The sequence below is a fragment of the Homo sapiens genome, chromosome X, assembly GCF_000001405.40.
Source record: "Homo sapiens chromosome X, GRCh38.p14 Primary Assembly".
Taxonomy (NCBI): Eukaryota; Metazoa; Chordata; class Mammalia; order Primates; family Hominidae; genus Homo; species Homo sapiens.
Window position 1 is genome coordinate 2,883,833 of NC_000023.11, and position 16,214 is coordinate 2,900,046.

General features: G+C 45.9%; 5 annotated features.

Annotated features, from left to right (window-relative positions):
- Positions 5,873-6,464: an enhancer, noted in NCBI's record as "NANOG-H3K27ac hESC enhancer chrX:2807746-2808337 (GRCh37/hg19 assembly coordinates)". NCBI's record gives its function as "activates a minimal SCP1, AML or CMV promoter by ChIP-STARR-seq in naive H9 embryonic stem cells {active_cell/tissue: H9 hESC(naive)}" and the evidence as "EXISTENCE:reporter gene assay evidence [ECO:0000049][PMID:30033119]".
- Positions 6,133-6,222: an enhancer, noted in NCBI's record as "active region_29372". NCBI's record gives its function as "activates an Ori minimal core promoter by ATAC-STARR-seq in GM12878 lymphoblastoid cells {active_cell/tissue: GM12878}" and the evidence as "EXISTENCE:reporter gene assay evidence [ECO:0000049][PMID:35858748]".
- Positions 7,983-8,673: an enhancer, noted in NCBI's record as "OCT4-NANOG-H3K27ac hESC enhancer chrX:2809856-2810546 (GRCh37/hg19 assembly coordinates)". NCBI's record gives its function as "activates a minimal SCP1, AML or CMV promoter by ChIP-STARR-seq in naive and primed H9 embryonic stem cells {active_cell/tissue: H9 hESC(naive and primed)}" and the evidence as "EXISTENCE:reporter gene assay evidence [ECO:0000049][PMID:30033119]".
- Positions 13,230-14,025: an enhancer, noted in NCBI's record as "H3K27ac-H3K4me1 hESC enhancer chrX:2815103-2815898 (GRCh37/hg19 assembly coordinates)". NCBI's record gives its function as "activates a minimal SCP1, AML or CMV promoter by ChIP-STARR-seq in naive H9 embryonic stem cells {active_cell/tissue: H9 hESC(naive)}" and the evidence as "EXISTENCE:reporter gene assay evidence [ECO:0000049][PMID:30033119]".
- Positions 14,026-14,821: an enhancer, noted in NCBI's record as "NANOG-H3K27ac-H3K4me1 hESC enhancer chrX:2815899-2816694 (GRCh37/hg19 assembly coordinates)". NCBI's record gives its function as "activates a minimal SCP1, AML or CMV promoter by ChIP-STARR-seq in naive H9 embryonic stem cells {active_cell/tissue: H9 hESC(naive)}" and the evidence as "EXISTENCE:reporter gene assay evidence [ECO:0000049][PMID:30033119]".

Below are 16,214 nucleotides of genomic sequence, written 5' to 3' on the forward strand. Positions count from 1 at the left end.
ACAGATCATCAGGCATTCGATTCTCATAAGGAGCACGCAACCTAGATCCCCTCACATGCACAGTTCACGGTAAGGTTTGCACTGCTATGGGAATCTTACGCGGCCGCCGATCTGCAGGAGGCAGAGCTCGGGTGGTAATGGGAGCGATGGCGAGCGGCTATCAATACAGATGAAGCTTTGCTCACTCGCCGCTACTCACCTCCTGCTGTGCGGCCCAGTTCCTAATAGGCCATGGACCAGCACTGGTCTGCAGCCCAGGGGTTGGGGACCCCTGCTATAGAACACTAGAACTACCTTAAAAAAAAAAAACCCAAAACTGGATCTCATAGAAGTAAGAACTAGAACAGAGGATACCAGAGGTCAGGAAGGGTAGGGAGAAGGGGTGATGGGGAGAGATTTGTTAAAGGGTACAAAATTACAGCTAGATAGGAGGAGTCAGTTCCAACAATAAATTTAAATTATCAGATGGATTTTTCAGAATTGCTGGTCACAGTGAAATGCATAGAACTGTTTACTTCTAACTTTTTGCGATCTTGCAGGATCTCTTTAGGAAAGGTACCCATTTTCTGAACTTTGCTTTGTCAGTTTCATTCATTCATTCGTCATATGCTTATTGAGTGCTCTCTTTATACCCAGCTGTGTGACATGGGACAAATCAATACACCATAAGTTTGGGAATATACACTTTTTTCCACGAGAAATCCTCATTGTCAGAAGTATCTTCATTCAATGGGCACAATATGCTGTGTATCTCACTGGGTGGCTGTCAGGGGCCACCGAGAGTGTCGTTAAAAATGGGCATGTTGATTGACGTCTCATGTCTCCCTAGAATATATAAAACCAAACTGTGCTTTGGCCACCTTGGGCACATGTCGCCAGGACCTCCCGAGGCCGTGTCGCAGGTGTGTGTCCTCAACCTTGGCAAAAGAAACTTTCTAAACTAACTGAGACCTGTCTCAGATTTTCAGGGTTCACAGGTACAGTGCTGAGTACGTGGGTGGGGGTACCTCACTACCATAGAAAATACCCTAGTGACAAACCGGCACGTGTACCCCTTAGACCTAACATAAAAGTTGAAATTATTTAAAAATAAATAAATAAATATTATGAGATTATTATCTTGTGGCAAGTGGAAATGATGTGGGAAGGAAAGGATTTCTAGATCTGTCGAATTGGCAGGGTGGATTGATGCCTACAGATCCACAGGAATAAGTTATAGTATTTTTGTTCCTCAAAGCCACTTGGTCGAATCCTGCCAAAACCTTTGGCTGATGCTTGGAAGCACGAAACAGGTCCTAGTGTTAACGCGTTTTGGGGTGGAACTGTAGTTTGAAGCAGAAAGGGGTTTCTTTCTGACCACCACCCTTGAATTAGGAAAAGCAGAGCAATTCTTTCTGGTTTCATAGGCCTCTGCTCTTTAGTGTACAGTACCATTTTAAAAATTATTTATTTATGTATCTTTGGCCGATTACAGTGACTCACACCTGTACCTGGTACTTTGGGAGGCCAAGGCGGGCAGATCGCCTGAGGTCAGGAGTTCAAGACCAGCCTGGCCAACATGGTGAAACCCCGTCTCTACCAAGAATACAAAAATTTGTCAGGCATGGTTGTGCATGCCTGTAATCCCAGCTACTCAGGAGGCTGAGGCAGGAGAATCACTTGAACCCAGGAGGTGGAGGTTGCAGTGAGCTGAGATCACACCACTGCACTCCAGCCTAGACAACAGAGTGAGACTCTGTCTCAAAAAAAAAAAAAAAAAGAAAGAAAAATAAAATAATTAAATCATCTATTTTAATTATTTTATTATTTTTTATTTTTATTTTTTTGACACGGAGTCTCACTCTTGTCCAAGCTGGAGTGCAGTGGCCCGATCACCGCTTCCTGCAGCCTCCAACTCCAGGGCTCAGGTGATCCTCCCACCTCAGCCTCTCAAGTAACTGGGATTACAGGCATGTGCCACCACACCCAGCTAATTTTTTTAAACTTTGTAGAGGCAGGGTCTCATAGGAGTCTCACTATGTGGCCCAGGCTGGTCTCCAACTCCTGGCCTCAAGCATTCCTCCTGCTTTGGCCTCCCAAAGTACTGAGGATTACAGGCATGAACCACTGTGCCTGGCCCCCATTTTTTTTAATAGATCAAATGAGTTGCATAGGTTTACAAACTTGATGTCTTCTATCCCTGCTCTATCCATCATCCTAAGAAACAAAATGAAGTTTTTATTGGCACAGACAATATCTGTTGGAAGCACATTCGTGCAAATCCAGCTATACCTAGTATGTGACATGTACTGTGCAAGAATATACTTTACACGGGATTGTAGCATGCCTTGAGGATGCTTGTCTGGATTCCATTGCATAGTTGCTAAATGCTGATGCTCTGTGAGTCTGTCATTATTGCAGCATTCATGGCCCAACACTCAGCTGCACAAAAGAGCTTTTCTGTTTCTCTTTCCCTCCCTAGCACACTCCTCTTGACTATCACTACTATGTTTTGATTGTTCAACGTGTAAAACAGTCCAATTTATTATTTTTTTAATGTTTAAACTGTTCCTTTTTTTTTTTTTTTTTAAACGACACAGGGTCTTACTCTGTTGCCCAGGCTGGAGTGCAGTGGCATGATCATATAGCTCACTGCTGTCTCAACCTCCTGGGTTCAACTGATCCTCCCATCTCAGCCTCCCAGGTGGCTGGGACTACAGGCAAGAGCCACCATGTCTGGCTCAAATTGTACCAGATTTACCAGTGGGACTCTCCTCACTTTAGATGGATTCTTAAGTCTATGAACTAATCCCATTAGTCTTTTTAAATTTTTATTTATTTTTGTTTGAGACAGAGTCTCGCTCTGTCACCCAGGCTGGAGTGCAGTGGCACGATCTCAACTCACTGCAACCTCCACCTCCCGGGTTCAAGTGATTCTCCTGCCTCAGCCTCCCGAGTAGCTGGGATTATAGGCGCGTGCCACCACGCCTGGCTAATTTTTGTGTTTTTAGTAGAGACGGGGTTTCGCCATGTTGGTCAGGCTGGTCTCCAACTCCTGGCCTCAAGTGATCTGCCTGCCTTGGCCTCCCAGAGTGCTGGGATTCCAGGTGTGAGCCACCGCACCTGGCCCCCATTAGTCTTTGATCACTTCCTTGCTTCCTGGCAAAATGAGATTCTCCAGAACCATCATAGATTTTCTCCCCTCACACCTGGGGCCAGGCATTTCTCCAAGGTCTTATTTTTAAGAACAAGCCAATTTTTATGTTCTAAATTGACTTCACACCTCCTCAGGGAAACGCAGCCAGTAGTTTAAAAACATCTTTGTAACAAATGAACGCTAAGCCCCACATCTTCTCTCCTTATCTATAAAAGAGGGATTACAATACCACATGCTCATGGGAATTTTCTGAGGATAAAACGAGACAATAAACATAAAGCTCTTAGCACAGTCTGTGGGAACAATTAAGCATGAAAGCATGAGCTGCTGCTCTCATTGTCAACATCCGATTGAAATCTTGTTTTTGAGACAGGGTCTTACCGTGTTGCTTAGGCTGGAGTGCAGCGGCACCGTCAGGGCTCACAGCAGTCTTGACCTCCCAGGCTCAAGTCATCCTCTTGCCTCAGTCCCCCTAGTACCTGGGACGACAGACTTGCACCACCATGCGCAGGTAATTTTTTTTTTTTTTTTTCAGTAGAGACAGATTTCGCCATGTTGCCCAGGCTGGTCTCGAACTCCTGGACTCAAGCGATCTGCCCACCTCTACCTCCCAAAGTGCTGGGATTACAGGTGTGAGCCATCGTCCCTGGCCTTATTGAGATCTTTAGAGATACTGCCAATAACTTGGGTTTTAAAAATTATATTGCTTGAGCCCAGGAGGTGGAGGCTGCAGTGAGCCAAGATCACGCCACTGCACTCCAGCTTGGGTGATATAGTGAGACTATGTCTCAAAAAAAGAAGAAGAAGAAAAAATTACCATTAAGATAAAAAATGTTTATGACTGTGTATGACGTTTACAAATTTAGCCAGCCTACGCAACAGAGCAAGACCCTGTCTCAAAAAAAAAAAAACTTAGAAATATTAGTAAACATGGTAGACGCCTGTTCATTAATTCTGCTTGAACAGGTGGTCAAGGAAAAGAAATGACTTGAATACAGCTAAGGGCTTTTATTCAGCAGATCCTCACCAGACGGCCCCTGTGCACAGATAATTGATTCACTGTGGCACAGCAGGATCTGAGTTTTGTAAGATGAGGAGAGAGGGGTACATGTTTTTGAGGACTGGCCCAAATTTCACTTTTCTGGCCAGGCGCAGTGGTTCTCGCTGGTAATCCCAGCACTTTGAAGGGCCGAGGCGGGTGGATCACTTCAGGTCAGGAGTTCGAGACCAACCTGACAACATGGCAAAACCCCATCTCTACTAAAAATATGAAACCTAGCCAGGCGTGGTGGTGTGCTCCTGTAATCCCAGCTATTTAGGAGGCTGAGGCAGGAGAATCGCTTGAACCTTGGAGGCGGAGGTTGCAGTAAGCCGAGATCGTGTCACTGCACTCCAGCCTGCGCAACAGAGCAAGACTCTGTTTCAAAAAAAAAAACAAAAACCAAAAAACAAATTACACTTTTCTTCATCTTCAGCTGTTGCAAAACCTGGCATCGTGTCCATTGGAGACTGTCGTTGCTGTGGTTTCAATACCTCTTTCATGGTATTATGGGTGCAATCCCTTTTCAGCAACTCTCAGAACAGTTTATTTTGCAAGGCTTTGCAATATGTCAAGGTTCAGGGGAAAGTGGGGGTAACAAAAAGGGAGGAGAGGAGAAAACGGAAGAGAAAAATATAGGAAAAGGAGGCAAGAGTTGAAGCAACATAAACTGGGGTCTCTCTATGTTTTATTGTAGTGCAAACACAAAACATTAAATTTATTATCTTAACCATTTTCAAGAGTACAGTTCAGGCCAGCTGCGGTGGCTCATGCCTGTAATCTCAGCACTTTGGGAGGCCACGGTGAGTGGATCTCTTGAGCTCAGGAGATGGAGATGAGCCTGTGCAACATGATGAAACCTCGTCTCTACAAAAAAAATACCAAAATTTAAAAAAGGGGGGGAGTAGAGTTAAGAGTTCAGTAGAGTTAAGTCTAATCACATTGCTGTGCATGGGTCTCCAAAACTTTTTCATCTTGCAAAACTGAAACTCTGTGCCTGATAGCAGTGGGGAGATCCGAGTTACCCTGAGTTACCAGTGGCGAATCTGTAGGGGTCTGCGGCAATTTCAATACTTGCCTCCTTGGAAGAAAGAATTTGACTGAGGGCGTAAGGCAGAAAAAGAGACCAAGGCAAGTTTCAAAGCAGGAGTGGAAGTTTATTTTAAAAAGCCTTAGAACAGGAGGAAAGGAAGGTACTCCTGGAAGAGATGCAAGTGCATGCCTGAAGGTCAAAGAGAGCGAGAGCGAGGGAGTCTAACCTTGATCCTGGGAGTTTACGTGCTGGCCTCTTTCTTACCCATGATTCTTCCCTTGGGGTGGGCTGCCCACATAAGCAGTGCCCTCCTTACCCTTGGAAAGTGAGCATGTGCGGTGTGTTTAGGGATTGTACGAATGCCGGTCTGAGACTTTCTTCCTTTTCTGGTGGAGGCTCCCGGAAGGTCATACTTCATACTTCACCATTTCATCTCTTTTCCCTGGCATTTGCAGTCAATTAACACTTTAATGTTAATAGCTGTGTTACTGGAAAGGAGTCCAGATCCAGACCCCAAGAGAGGGTCCTTGGAGCTCGTGCAGGAAGGAATTCTGAGTGAGTTCATAAAGTGAAAGCAAGTTTTTTAAGAAAGAAAAGGAATACACGAATGGCTCTTCCATAGACAGAGCAGCCCCGAGGTCTCCTGGTTTCCCATTTTTATGGTTATTTCTTGATGATATGCTAAACAAGGGGTGGATTATTCATTCTTTCCCTTTTTAGACCATACAGGGAGACTTCCTGACGTTCCCATGGCATTTGTAAACTGTCACAGCGCTGGTGGGAGTGTAGCAGTGAAGACCACCAGAGGTCACTCTTGTCACCATCTTGGTTTGGGTGGGATCTCGCCGGTTTCTGTACTGCAACCTGTTTTATCACCGAGGGCTTTGTGCCGACCTCCCGTCTCATCCTGTGACTATGAATGCCTCACACACCTCCTGGGAATGCAGCCCAGCAGGTCTCAGCCTCATGTTACCCAGCCCCTATTCAAGATGGAGTGGCTCTGCCTCCAGTGCCTCTGATAGTGTCACAGGCCGTGCTCACTCACATTTGGCTCAGAATAAATCTCTTCAAATATTTTAGAGTTTTACTCTTTATCGGCATCATCTTGTCCAATTCCAATGAGGAGCTCTTGAAAGCTAAAACCAAGAAGTCTTCCCCATGGGAGAAGCACCCCCAAATCTTGTTCTCACCAATCAGGCGCATTCGCGGTTCTTCCTTTCCTCCCCTTCTCCTCCTGCACCACTTGCTGCTTCCCTTCTCCCACGAATGCTCTCCAGGACCTGCTGCACTTCTCACAGTGCCCTAACTCTCGGCTCTGCAGGAAAATGACTTCACAGGAATTTCTCCTTGTAAAGATTTTATAACCCAATGGATGGACCCTGATGGGACAAAACCCAGGGGTGAAAAATTAAAATGGCAATGTTACTGGAGACGGGTCCCTATCTAGATTCCAAGAGAGGGTTCTTGTGTTGTACCCGAGCGAGTTAGAAAAACGCCACACTTTGAGACGATTTAAGAGTCCTTTATTAGCCGGCGACCGAGAGACGGCTAACGCTCAAAATTCTCTCGGCCCCGAGGAAGGGGCTTGATTAACTTTTAGATCTTGGTTTAGGAAGGGGAGGGCGGGGGGTCTAGTGAAAACCATTTTACAGAAGTAAAGTAGGCAAAAAGTTAAAAGGATAAATGGTTGCAGGAAAGTAAACAGTTCCAGGTGCAGGGGCTTTAAGACTATTATAGACGCGAGGCTTTGGGCGTTACTAATCAGACGAATTCCCGGGAACTGCGGATGTAGCTCGCCACAGTATCTTATCAGTTAACTGCATTCTTGGATGTGCTGGGAGTCAGCCTGCACGAGTTCAGTCCTTGAGGAAGGGGCTGCCAGTGAAAGAGCCAAGGTGGAGTCTGGCTGGCTCTCTTAGCTAAGGGAGAGTCCATTCAGGTGGAAAGAAGGCTAGGTGAGTAGAGGAAAAGGGAGAGTCTAAAAACAGGTTAGTAAAAACCAGGTTGGGCATTACACTTGGATCTTGCGGCAAGAAAGAATTCGGGGCGAATCCATAGAGTAAAGTGAAAGCAAGTTTATCAAGAAAGTAGAGGAATAAAAGCATGGCCACTCCATAGACAGAGCAGCAGCATGGGCTGTTGGTTGCCTTTTTTAATGGTTATTTCTTGATTAGATGCTAAACAGGGGTTGGATTATTCTTGAGTTTTCTGGGAAAGGGGTGCGCAATTCCCAGAACTGAGGGTTCCTCCCCTTTTAGACCATATAGGGTAATCTCCTGACATTCCCATGACATTTGTAAACTGTCATGGCGCTGGTGGGAGTGTCTCTTAGTATTCTGTGCTTTATAATTAGCATATAATGAGCTGTGAGGACAGCCAGAGGTCACATTTGTCACCTCTTGGTTTTGGTGGGTTCTGGCCAGGTTCTTTCATGCAAGCTGTTTTATCAGTAAGGTCTTTATGTCCTGTATCTTGAGCTGACCTCCTATCTCATCCTGTGACTTAGAATGCCACACCTCCTGGGAATGCAGCTCAGCAGGTCTCAGCCTCATTTTACCCAGGCCCTATTCAAGATGGAGTGGCTCTCATTCGAAAGCCTCTGACAGCAAGATTGAAATAGCTTCAGGAGGGCTCATCCAGCTCATGGGCTATTCTGAACCTCTCTTTCCTTCCTTCATTACTGTCTTCTACCCCAGTTCGGGTCATGTGACTTGGTGACTTGGCCTCTGTCCAAGAACACTGAGATATCTTATTTGTCATTTTGTACACTGGTCAGTGATCTTGCATTCAAATGGATTTCTTCTCTCAGAGGGGAGTCCATTGGGGAAGTGAAGGGTCAAAGGCCAGCCAGAATTCATAGGATAGAGTCGGCAGAGAGCCTGGAAAGCGGGAATCTTGTTGATGGCTGGCAGAGGCCAGTATAGGCATTCTGCCTTTTAGGAGGTTGCGTAGAGTCTTGTAGAAGACAATGGCAGCTGTTTGGGCATTCTTTGGCAGTGTTGTGGATTTTGCTGTTGCTATGGTCTCAATGCTTGCCTTGAACATTGTGTGCCTTGAACATTCATGTGTTGAAACTTAATCCCCAAGACAATAGTATTAGGAGATGGTGCTTTTAGGAAACAATTAGGGGTCTAGACTCATCAATGGGATAAGTGTCCTTATAAAAGGGACCCCAGGCCAGGCACAGCAGGTGGCTCACACCTGTAATCCCAGCACTTTGGGAGGCCAAGGCAGCTGGATCACCTGAGGTCAGGAGTTCAAGACCAGCCTGGCCAACATATAGTGAAACCACATCTCTACAAAAAATACAAAAACAGGCATGGTAGCACACACCTGTAATCCCAGCTAATTGGGAGGCTGAGGCAGGAGAATCGCTTGAATCCAGGAGGCGGAGGTTGCAGTGAACTGAGATTGTGCCACTGCACTCCAGCTTAGGTGACAGACAGAGCAAGACTCCGCCTCAAAATATAAAATTAAATTAAATTAAAAATAAAATAATGAATAAAATAAAATTAAAAAGGTGAGCCATTGTGATGGATGGAAATCACGTAAACCTGGACCAATTCAGGCAAAGATGTTGATGGGACATCACGGGTAATAGCCATTCCTCAGAGACTACCTGCCAAATTGCTCCCCAGCTGTCTTAGTCAATTTAAGCTGCCATAAGAAAACACCATAGACTACACGGCTTACCCCAACCAGCATTTGTGGCTCACAGTTCTGGAGGCTGAAGTCCAAGGTCAAGGAATGGCAGATTCAGTGTCTTCTGAGGACCCACTTCTGTTGCCTGGTCCAGGCTAAACTGTAACCATAATAGGTTCGTTGCATGCAGCATGTCTGTACCCCAACTCTCAGGGCTGCAGAAGAGAAAGAGGTTTAATCAAAAAGAAAGAAAGAAAGAAAATGAAAATGAAAGAGACACACAGAAACATTCCACTGGTTACAGCTCAGCGTTTGCCTTATTTGAACATGGTTAGAACAGTTGGCTCCCTGTGAGTGGTTGAAGTATGGCTGCTGGGATTGGTGGAGATGTCGCTTGTTACAGAAGCATACTCTTAAGTTAGGTGATATGGTTTGGATGTGTGTTCTCACACAAATCTCCAGTGTTGAAGGTGGGGCCTGGTGGGAGATGACCGGATCATGGGGGCAGCGGTTTCTAATGGTTTAGAGTTCTCACGAGATCGGGTTGTTTAAAAGTGTGTGACACCTCCCCACTCTGTCTCGGTCCTGCTCCAGGCATGGTAAGACACGCTTACTTCCCCTTTGCCTTCTGCCATGACTGTAAGTTTCCTGAGGCCTCCCCAGCCATGATCTCTATACAGCCCGCGGAACCATGAGCCAATTGAACCTCCTTTCTTTCTAAATTATCCAGGCTCAGGTAGTTCTTTACAGCAGCGCAGGAACAGACTAATACCTTAGCTTTTCAGTCCGCCCGCCTACCTGCCAAGTTAGGTTACGGTTCACCCACAAGGACTCAAGTATGAGAGTACAGAGACATTCTCAGGCCAGATTTTAGTTTGATTTAATAGTTCAGATTCTTCTGCATCCCTGTATCTTCAGAAATAAGGATGTTCCCTACCATTTGATCCAGCAATCCCATTACTGGGTACCTACTCCGAGGAAAAGAAGTTATTATTTGAAAAAGATAAGATACTTGCACATGCATGTTTATAGCAGCACAATTCACAATTGCAAAAATGTGGATCCAGCCCAAATGCCCATCAATCAATGAGTGGATTAAAAAAACTGTGATACATATATATATACACACACACACATATATGTGTATATATATATATACACACATATATGTATATATATATACACACACACCCATATATATGTATATATATACACACACACACATATATTCATTCCTTTTTATGGCTGAGTAGTATTCTATCATCTATATATATATATATATATATATATACACACACACATATATGTGTATATGTGTGTGTGTGTGTGTGTGTGTGTGTATATATATATAGATGATAGAATACTACTCAGCCATAAAAAGGAATGAATGAATGGCATTCACAGCAACCTGGATGGAATTGGAGACCATTATTCTAAGTGAAGTAACTCAGGAATGGAAAACCAAACATTGTGTGTTCTCACTCATAAGTGAGAGCTAAGCTATGAGGATGCAAAGGTGTAAGAATGACACAATGGACTTTGGGGTCTTGTGGAGAAGAGCTGGAAGGGGGTGAGGGATAGAAGACCACACACATTGGGTTCAGTGTATACTGTTCAGGTGATGGGTGCACCAAAATCTCACAAATTGTCACTAAAGAACTGACTCATGTAACCAAATACCACCTGTTTCCCAAAAACCTATGGAAACAAAACAATTTAAAAATTTTTTAAAAAGAAATTAAGGATGTTTCTTTCCTCTGGGTATTAAGGCACCTTTCAAATGAGGGTGGTTTGACCTGCTTCAGGAGAGAAAGATGAGAGGAAGGTCAGAGAGACCATCCCGCTTCTGCTGTTTTCTCCAATGCCAAGGGGCCATGTTTTGGGGCGGCACGTCCTGAAACCCCTCACAAGCAACATAAATGAACCTGGATTGCTTAAACAACACCATCCAGGCATGGTGAGTGTGTGGGGTCATTCGAAGAGTAAGGAACGTAGAAGAGCTAGTGTTATAAAATGGCGAAATCAAGAACAGCCTGTGGACAGCATGCAGCGGTGGCTTTATGGGATTACTGTTGTGAGATGCTCAGGGTGAACGTGGGAGAATCCAAGCCTGAGACCCTGGCTCCTCCTTGGCTTGGATCGGGGAGAGCAGAACACCTTGATCTACTATCCCACCTTGTCCCCTGTAGGGAAGTAGAAGAGCCATAGCCACGTGAGGTGATGTCCGTAAAAGAGCGAGATTGCTGTGTGACATACAGAACAAAGCCCACCGCCACATTCTCCCTTCCTGATTCTTCAGCCTGATCAGAATGTGGCTTTGTTCATAGACTAATGGCTAAATTGGCAAAATGCCCCAAGATACGGAGTTGCAGTTGCGAAAGAGCCACGATTGCTGTGAAGATTGTAGAAGCTGTGATCTGCAAAGCACGGAGAGCAAGGCCTGGCTCATGTCAAGGACTCAATAAATGTCACAGCTGTACTCATTATTTTTACCCTGAGGCCACATCCTGGCACAGGGAGAAGGGTGATTATCCATTATACGAGGTCTGGCTGTGGATTGGGATGGCAGTGCATTAGCTGTTTCTTATGTGCATATAGAGAAGTCTGCTCAGGGGCTGTGTCTTTGCAAGCTCATGCCCTCTAAGCAGCTGCTTTAGAACAGGTGAAAATTGGCCAGGCACAGTGGCTCATGCCTGTAATCCCAGCAATTTGAGAGGCCGAGGTGGGCAGATTGCTTAAGTCCAGGAGCTCGAGACTAGCATGGGCAACACGACAAAACCTCCTCTGTATAAAATATACAAAAATTAGATGGGCGTGGTGGTGCACGCCTGTGGTCCCAGCTATTTGGGAGGCTGAGGTGGGAGTATCACTAGAGCTTGGGAGGCAGAGGTTGCAGTGAGCAAGATTGTGCCACTGTACTCCAGCCTGGGTGACAGAGCCAGACCCTGTGTCAAAAAAAAAAAAAAAAAAAAAAAAAAAAAAAAAAAAAAAAAAAAGCCAAGTGTGTGGCTCATGCCTGTAATCCCAGCACTTTGCAGGGCTGAGGTGGGCAAATCACCTGAGGTCAGGAGTTTGAGACCAGCCTGGCCAACATGGTGAAACCCCGTCTCTACCAAAAATACACACAGAATATTGGCCAGGCATGGTGGCGCATGCCTGTAATCCCAGCTGCTCGGGAGGCTGAGTGAGGCAGGAGAATTGCTTGAACCCGGGAGGTGGAGGTTGCAGTGAGCTGAGATCACCCCACTCCACTCCAGCCTGGGCAACAGAGCGAGACTCTGTCTCAAAATAAATAAATAAATAGAACAAGTGGAAATAAATGAGACGTCCCCCATCCCAAATGTTTTCGTCCCAAATGAAAATGAGCAGAGGCCACTTATTCAGAGCTAGCCCTAGTAAGGGAGTCAGACATCACCCTTTGCATTTTGGCAGGGACCGAAAGACAAGTAGAGGAGGCTTTATAGTGTCAGACCTCAGGATACACGTCCCCAAACATGACTGCTGGCAACCAGAATATACCAGCCCAACATACCCATTACTTTGAGCTGAAACACTGAGAACCAGCTAATACAAGAGGAGCTCTTTACTTGCTCCTCGACAGCTAAAAATAAAGTACAAATTTCCCCTTTGAAAAGAGAAATTTAGGCCAGACATGGTGGCTCACGCCTGTAATCCCAGCACTTTTGGGGACTGAGGCAGGTTGATCACCTGAGGTCAGGAGTTCGAGACCAGCCTGGCCAACATGGTGAAACCCCGTCTCTACTAAAAATACAAAAATTAGCTGGGTGTGGTGGCTCATGCCTGTAACCCCAGCTACTCAGGAGGCTGAGGCAGGAGAATTGCTTGAACCCACGAGGTGGAAGTTGCAGGGAGCCGAGATCATGCCACTGTACTCCAGCCTGGGCGACAAGAGTGAACAAAACTCCATCTCAAAAAAAAAAAAAAAAAGAAATTTTTGTTTTGTTTTGTTTTGTTTGTTTGAGATGGAGCCTTGCTCTGTCGCCAGGCTGGAGTGCCGTGGTCCGATCTTGGCTCCCTGCAACCTCCCCCTCCCGGGTTCAAGCGATTCTCCTGCCTCAGCCTCCCGAGTAGCACAAGCACGTGCCACCACGCTCAGCTAATTTTTGTATTTTTAGTAGAGACGGGGTTTCACCATGTTGGCCAGGCTGGTCTCTATCTCTTGACCTCGTGATCTGCCTGCCTCAGCCTGCCAAAGTGCTGGGATTACAGGCATGAGTCACCCCACACCCAGCCGAAATTTGGTAAACTCAATCAAGTTTATTTATTTATTTATTTATTTTTTTAATGGGTCGCGCTTTTGGTGTCTTATTTTCCTAACCCAAAACGAAAAAGACTTTCTCCTCTGTTTTCTTCTGCACATGTTATAGAGATCGCACTTACATTTGGGTCTCTGATCCACTTTGAGTTAATTTTGGTGCAGGGTTTTCCATTCACGGAACATGAAGTTGGATTTCTAATAGGTCAATATATGAAAAATTTCCCGCAAAGTTTTTCTTTTCTTTTCTTTTTTTTTTTTTTTTTTGAGACTGTCACCCAGGCTGGAGTACAGTGGTGCAATCACAGCTCACTGCAGCCTTGACGTCCCAGGCTCTAGAGATCCTCCCACCTCAGCCTTCCAAGTAGCTGAGACCACAGGTGTGCACCACCACGCTTGCCTGATTTTATATTTTTTGTACAGACGGGGTCCCACTGTGTTGGCCAGGCTCGTCTCGCACTCCTGGGCTTGAGTGATCCTTCCACCTCGGTGTCCCAAAGTGCTGGGATGATAAGCATGAGCCACTGCACTCGGCCAGTTTCTAGTTTGGATATTTGAGTGGACTTCCCAGCCCCCACACAGCATGCTCATTTCGTGTAAGATTGTGAGAGAGTGCGAGGAGAGAAAGAGCATGCAGCCAGCGTTGGAGCTTCGGAGACATCCCGGGCAGGAGCTTCCCAGGGTCTCATTTGTTCTGTCTCATGGTTGGCACACGAAGGACAGTGAGAGGAATCTTGGTTTCAGGGGGCCTCAAACCAGACATTTGAGGAGGTAGGGGAGGCGGTTGCCACTCCGCTCATTCAGTGCATCCAGGCTGTCTAACTGGTTAGGCCACTTGCAAATGTGCAAACCTTAAGTAAAGAAACAGACTCTGGGGTCAGGGGGGAGGTTTGAACTGTAACTAGCGCGTCATAAATCCCAGCCCTTATCTTGAACAAGAGTCAAAGACCGGACTTGAAGGCATCCCCCAAGATAAAGGTAGGCCCTCTGCAGGGCAGCTGTAAGTCAGCTCTCCTCCACCCCTCTGGCTGGCCCCCTCCTTATCCGAGTCCTGCTTCCTTCCTCTTTAAATCTGCAGACAATGCTGCTTCTCTGCAGGTCTCTGCATATTCCCTCAGCTCACAGACCGGCTGCATACTTGGTATTTTCAGGGTTAGGTTTGCAACACATGACTGGGGAAATGCATGAAAAGGAAATGATGCAAGAATTCACCGCGGACACCTTTAGGTGAGAAGGAGATGTGACAAAAAGTCTCTGCCTGGCCAAACCGTAGCCAGGCTCCTGAAGCCCCTCCCAGGCCCGGTGGTGCGTTTCCTTATAGAATTAGATTTCAGCAAAGTACCGGCTAAGTCAGTTTGGCGAGAAGCCACCATTCTTGATATCATGTTCCTCGTCGTCCACCACCCCTGGTTGATGTTTAACCCCCTTGGCTGGCTTTAACAAGCCAGGTTGGTTTAGCCAGGACCCGCTTCACCTCTGATGTTTCCTTTTAGTGCTTTGCCATCTGTACACCCGCTGCCTGCCCCCGTGGCTGTACATTCCCACTTGCCCTTGCTGTGTTCATATTGGAAGCTGAGCCCAGCCTCTCCTGCACTGTGAACCGCCATTGCAGTGGTCCCTGTACTTCACACGATAAGCCTGGATAATGTCTTCGTTATCTTTTTGGTGATGCTTTCCCAAGTACGAGGTTCGTGCAAAAGTAATAACTGCAATTACCAACCTAGTATCACTGAATAGTTTTTTCTTTAACAAAGGTTTTGCTCCCGGACGAATGAACGAGTGCTGGCTGCTTGTTCTTGGGGCTCAACAATGAGGTGCAGACAGACTGGGGAGAAGGGGATTTATTTCTCCAACGGGTTACAGGGAGAAGGTCAGATTAACTCACCAGGTCAGCTCAAAGTGACAAGTTTTTTCCAGGGTTTCTATGCATTTTAAGCTCTATGCCCACGTGTAGGATTGCACCTACGAGCGGGAGTATTTCATTCGGTTCCTGTCTAATCTTTAACTAGGGTCTGGGGTCTGGGAAGTTTTCTCTAGACGCTTAATCTTCAGTGAGCCCTGGTATGACGTGTTTAACTTGTGCATCATCAGAATTATAATAAAGCGTTAGTGGAAAAACTGGTTGCTCCGGCTGCTAATGGAAGCCTGGCCTGCCACAGTTTGACTCAAAGGGAACCTAACTCTCAAGGAGCCATAATCCCAGCACTTTGGGAGGCCAAAGTGGAGGATTGCTTGTGCCCAGGTGTTGGAGACCAGCCTGGGCGACATAGGAGACCCCATCTCTATACATAAAAGAAAAATTAGTCGGGCATGGTGGCTTGCGTCTCTTGCCTCAGCTACTCTGGAGGTTAAGGCTGGAGGATCGCTTAAGCCTGGGAGTTGGAGGCTGCAGTGAGCTGTGATTGTACCACAGCACCCCAGCCTGGGCAACAGAGCGGAACCCTGTCTCCAAAAACAAAACAAAACAAAATAAAAAACAAAAGCAAAGAGCCATACAAGAAAGTTTTAAAGAATGTATTTTTTAAAAGCCCCAGTGAGGTTTTCTGCAGAAATCCTGGGTGCTTCTAAGCCAGCCAGAACCTCTACCTTTAAAGCATGTCTGCTCATGTCATAGGTCTTACAGGTATGGAGGAAAGTTGAGGTTTTTAAATTTAAAAAAATATAAAAAAGAAGATGAACACTTCTGAATCTTCTTTTTTTTCCTTTTGAGCATGTTCTCTGGGTGGGGAATGTGCTATGGTTTCTGAAAACAAAGAAGAAAACATGTCATCCTTCTGTTCCAGGTTCTCACGATGGTCTAAGGGAATGTGATTTTTTTTTTTTTTTTTTTTTAATGGATAGCATGATAGTGGCATGGGGTGACGTGGAGGCCAAGGACAGAGGGTGAGGTATTCAGCCTGGAGATGACCTTTAACCTCAAGGCTTTCTTCCTTTTAAAATGTTTGCAGATTGTTTGTTTTTTGTTTTTGTTTTTGTGTTTTTTTGAGACACAGTCTTGCTCTTGTCGCCCAGGCTGGAGTGGCATGATCTCGGCTCACTGCAACCTCCGCCTCCTGGTTCAAGTGATTCTCCTGCCTCTGCCTCCCAA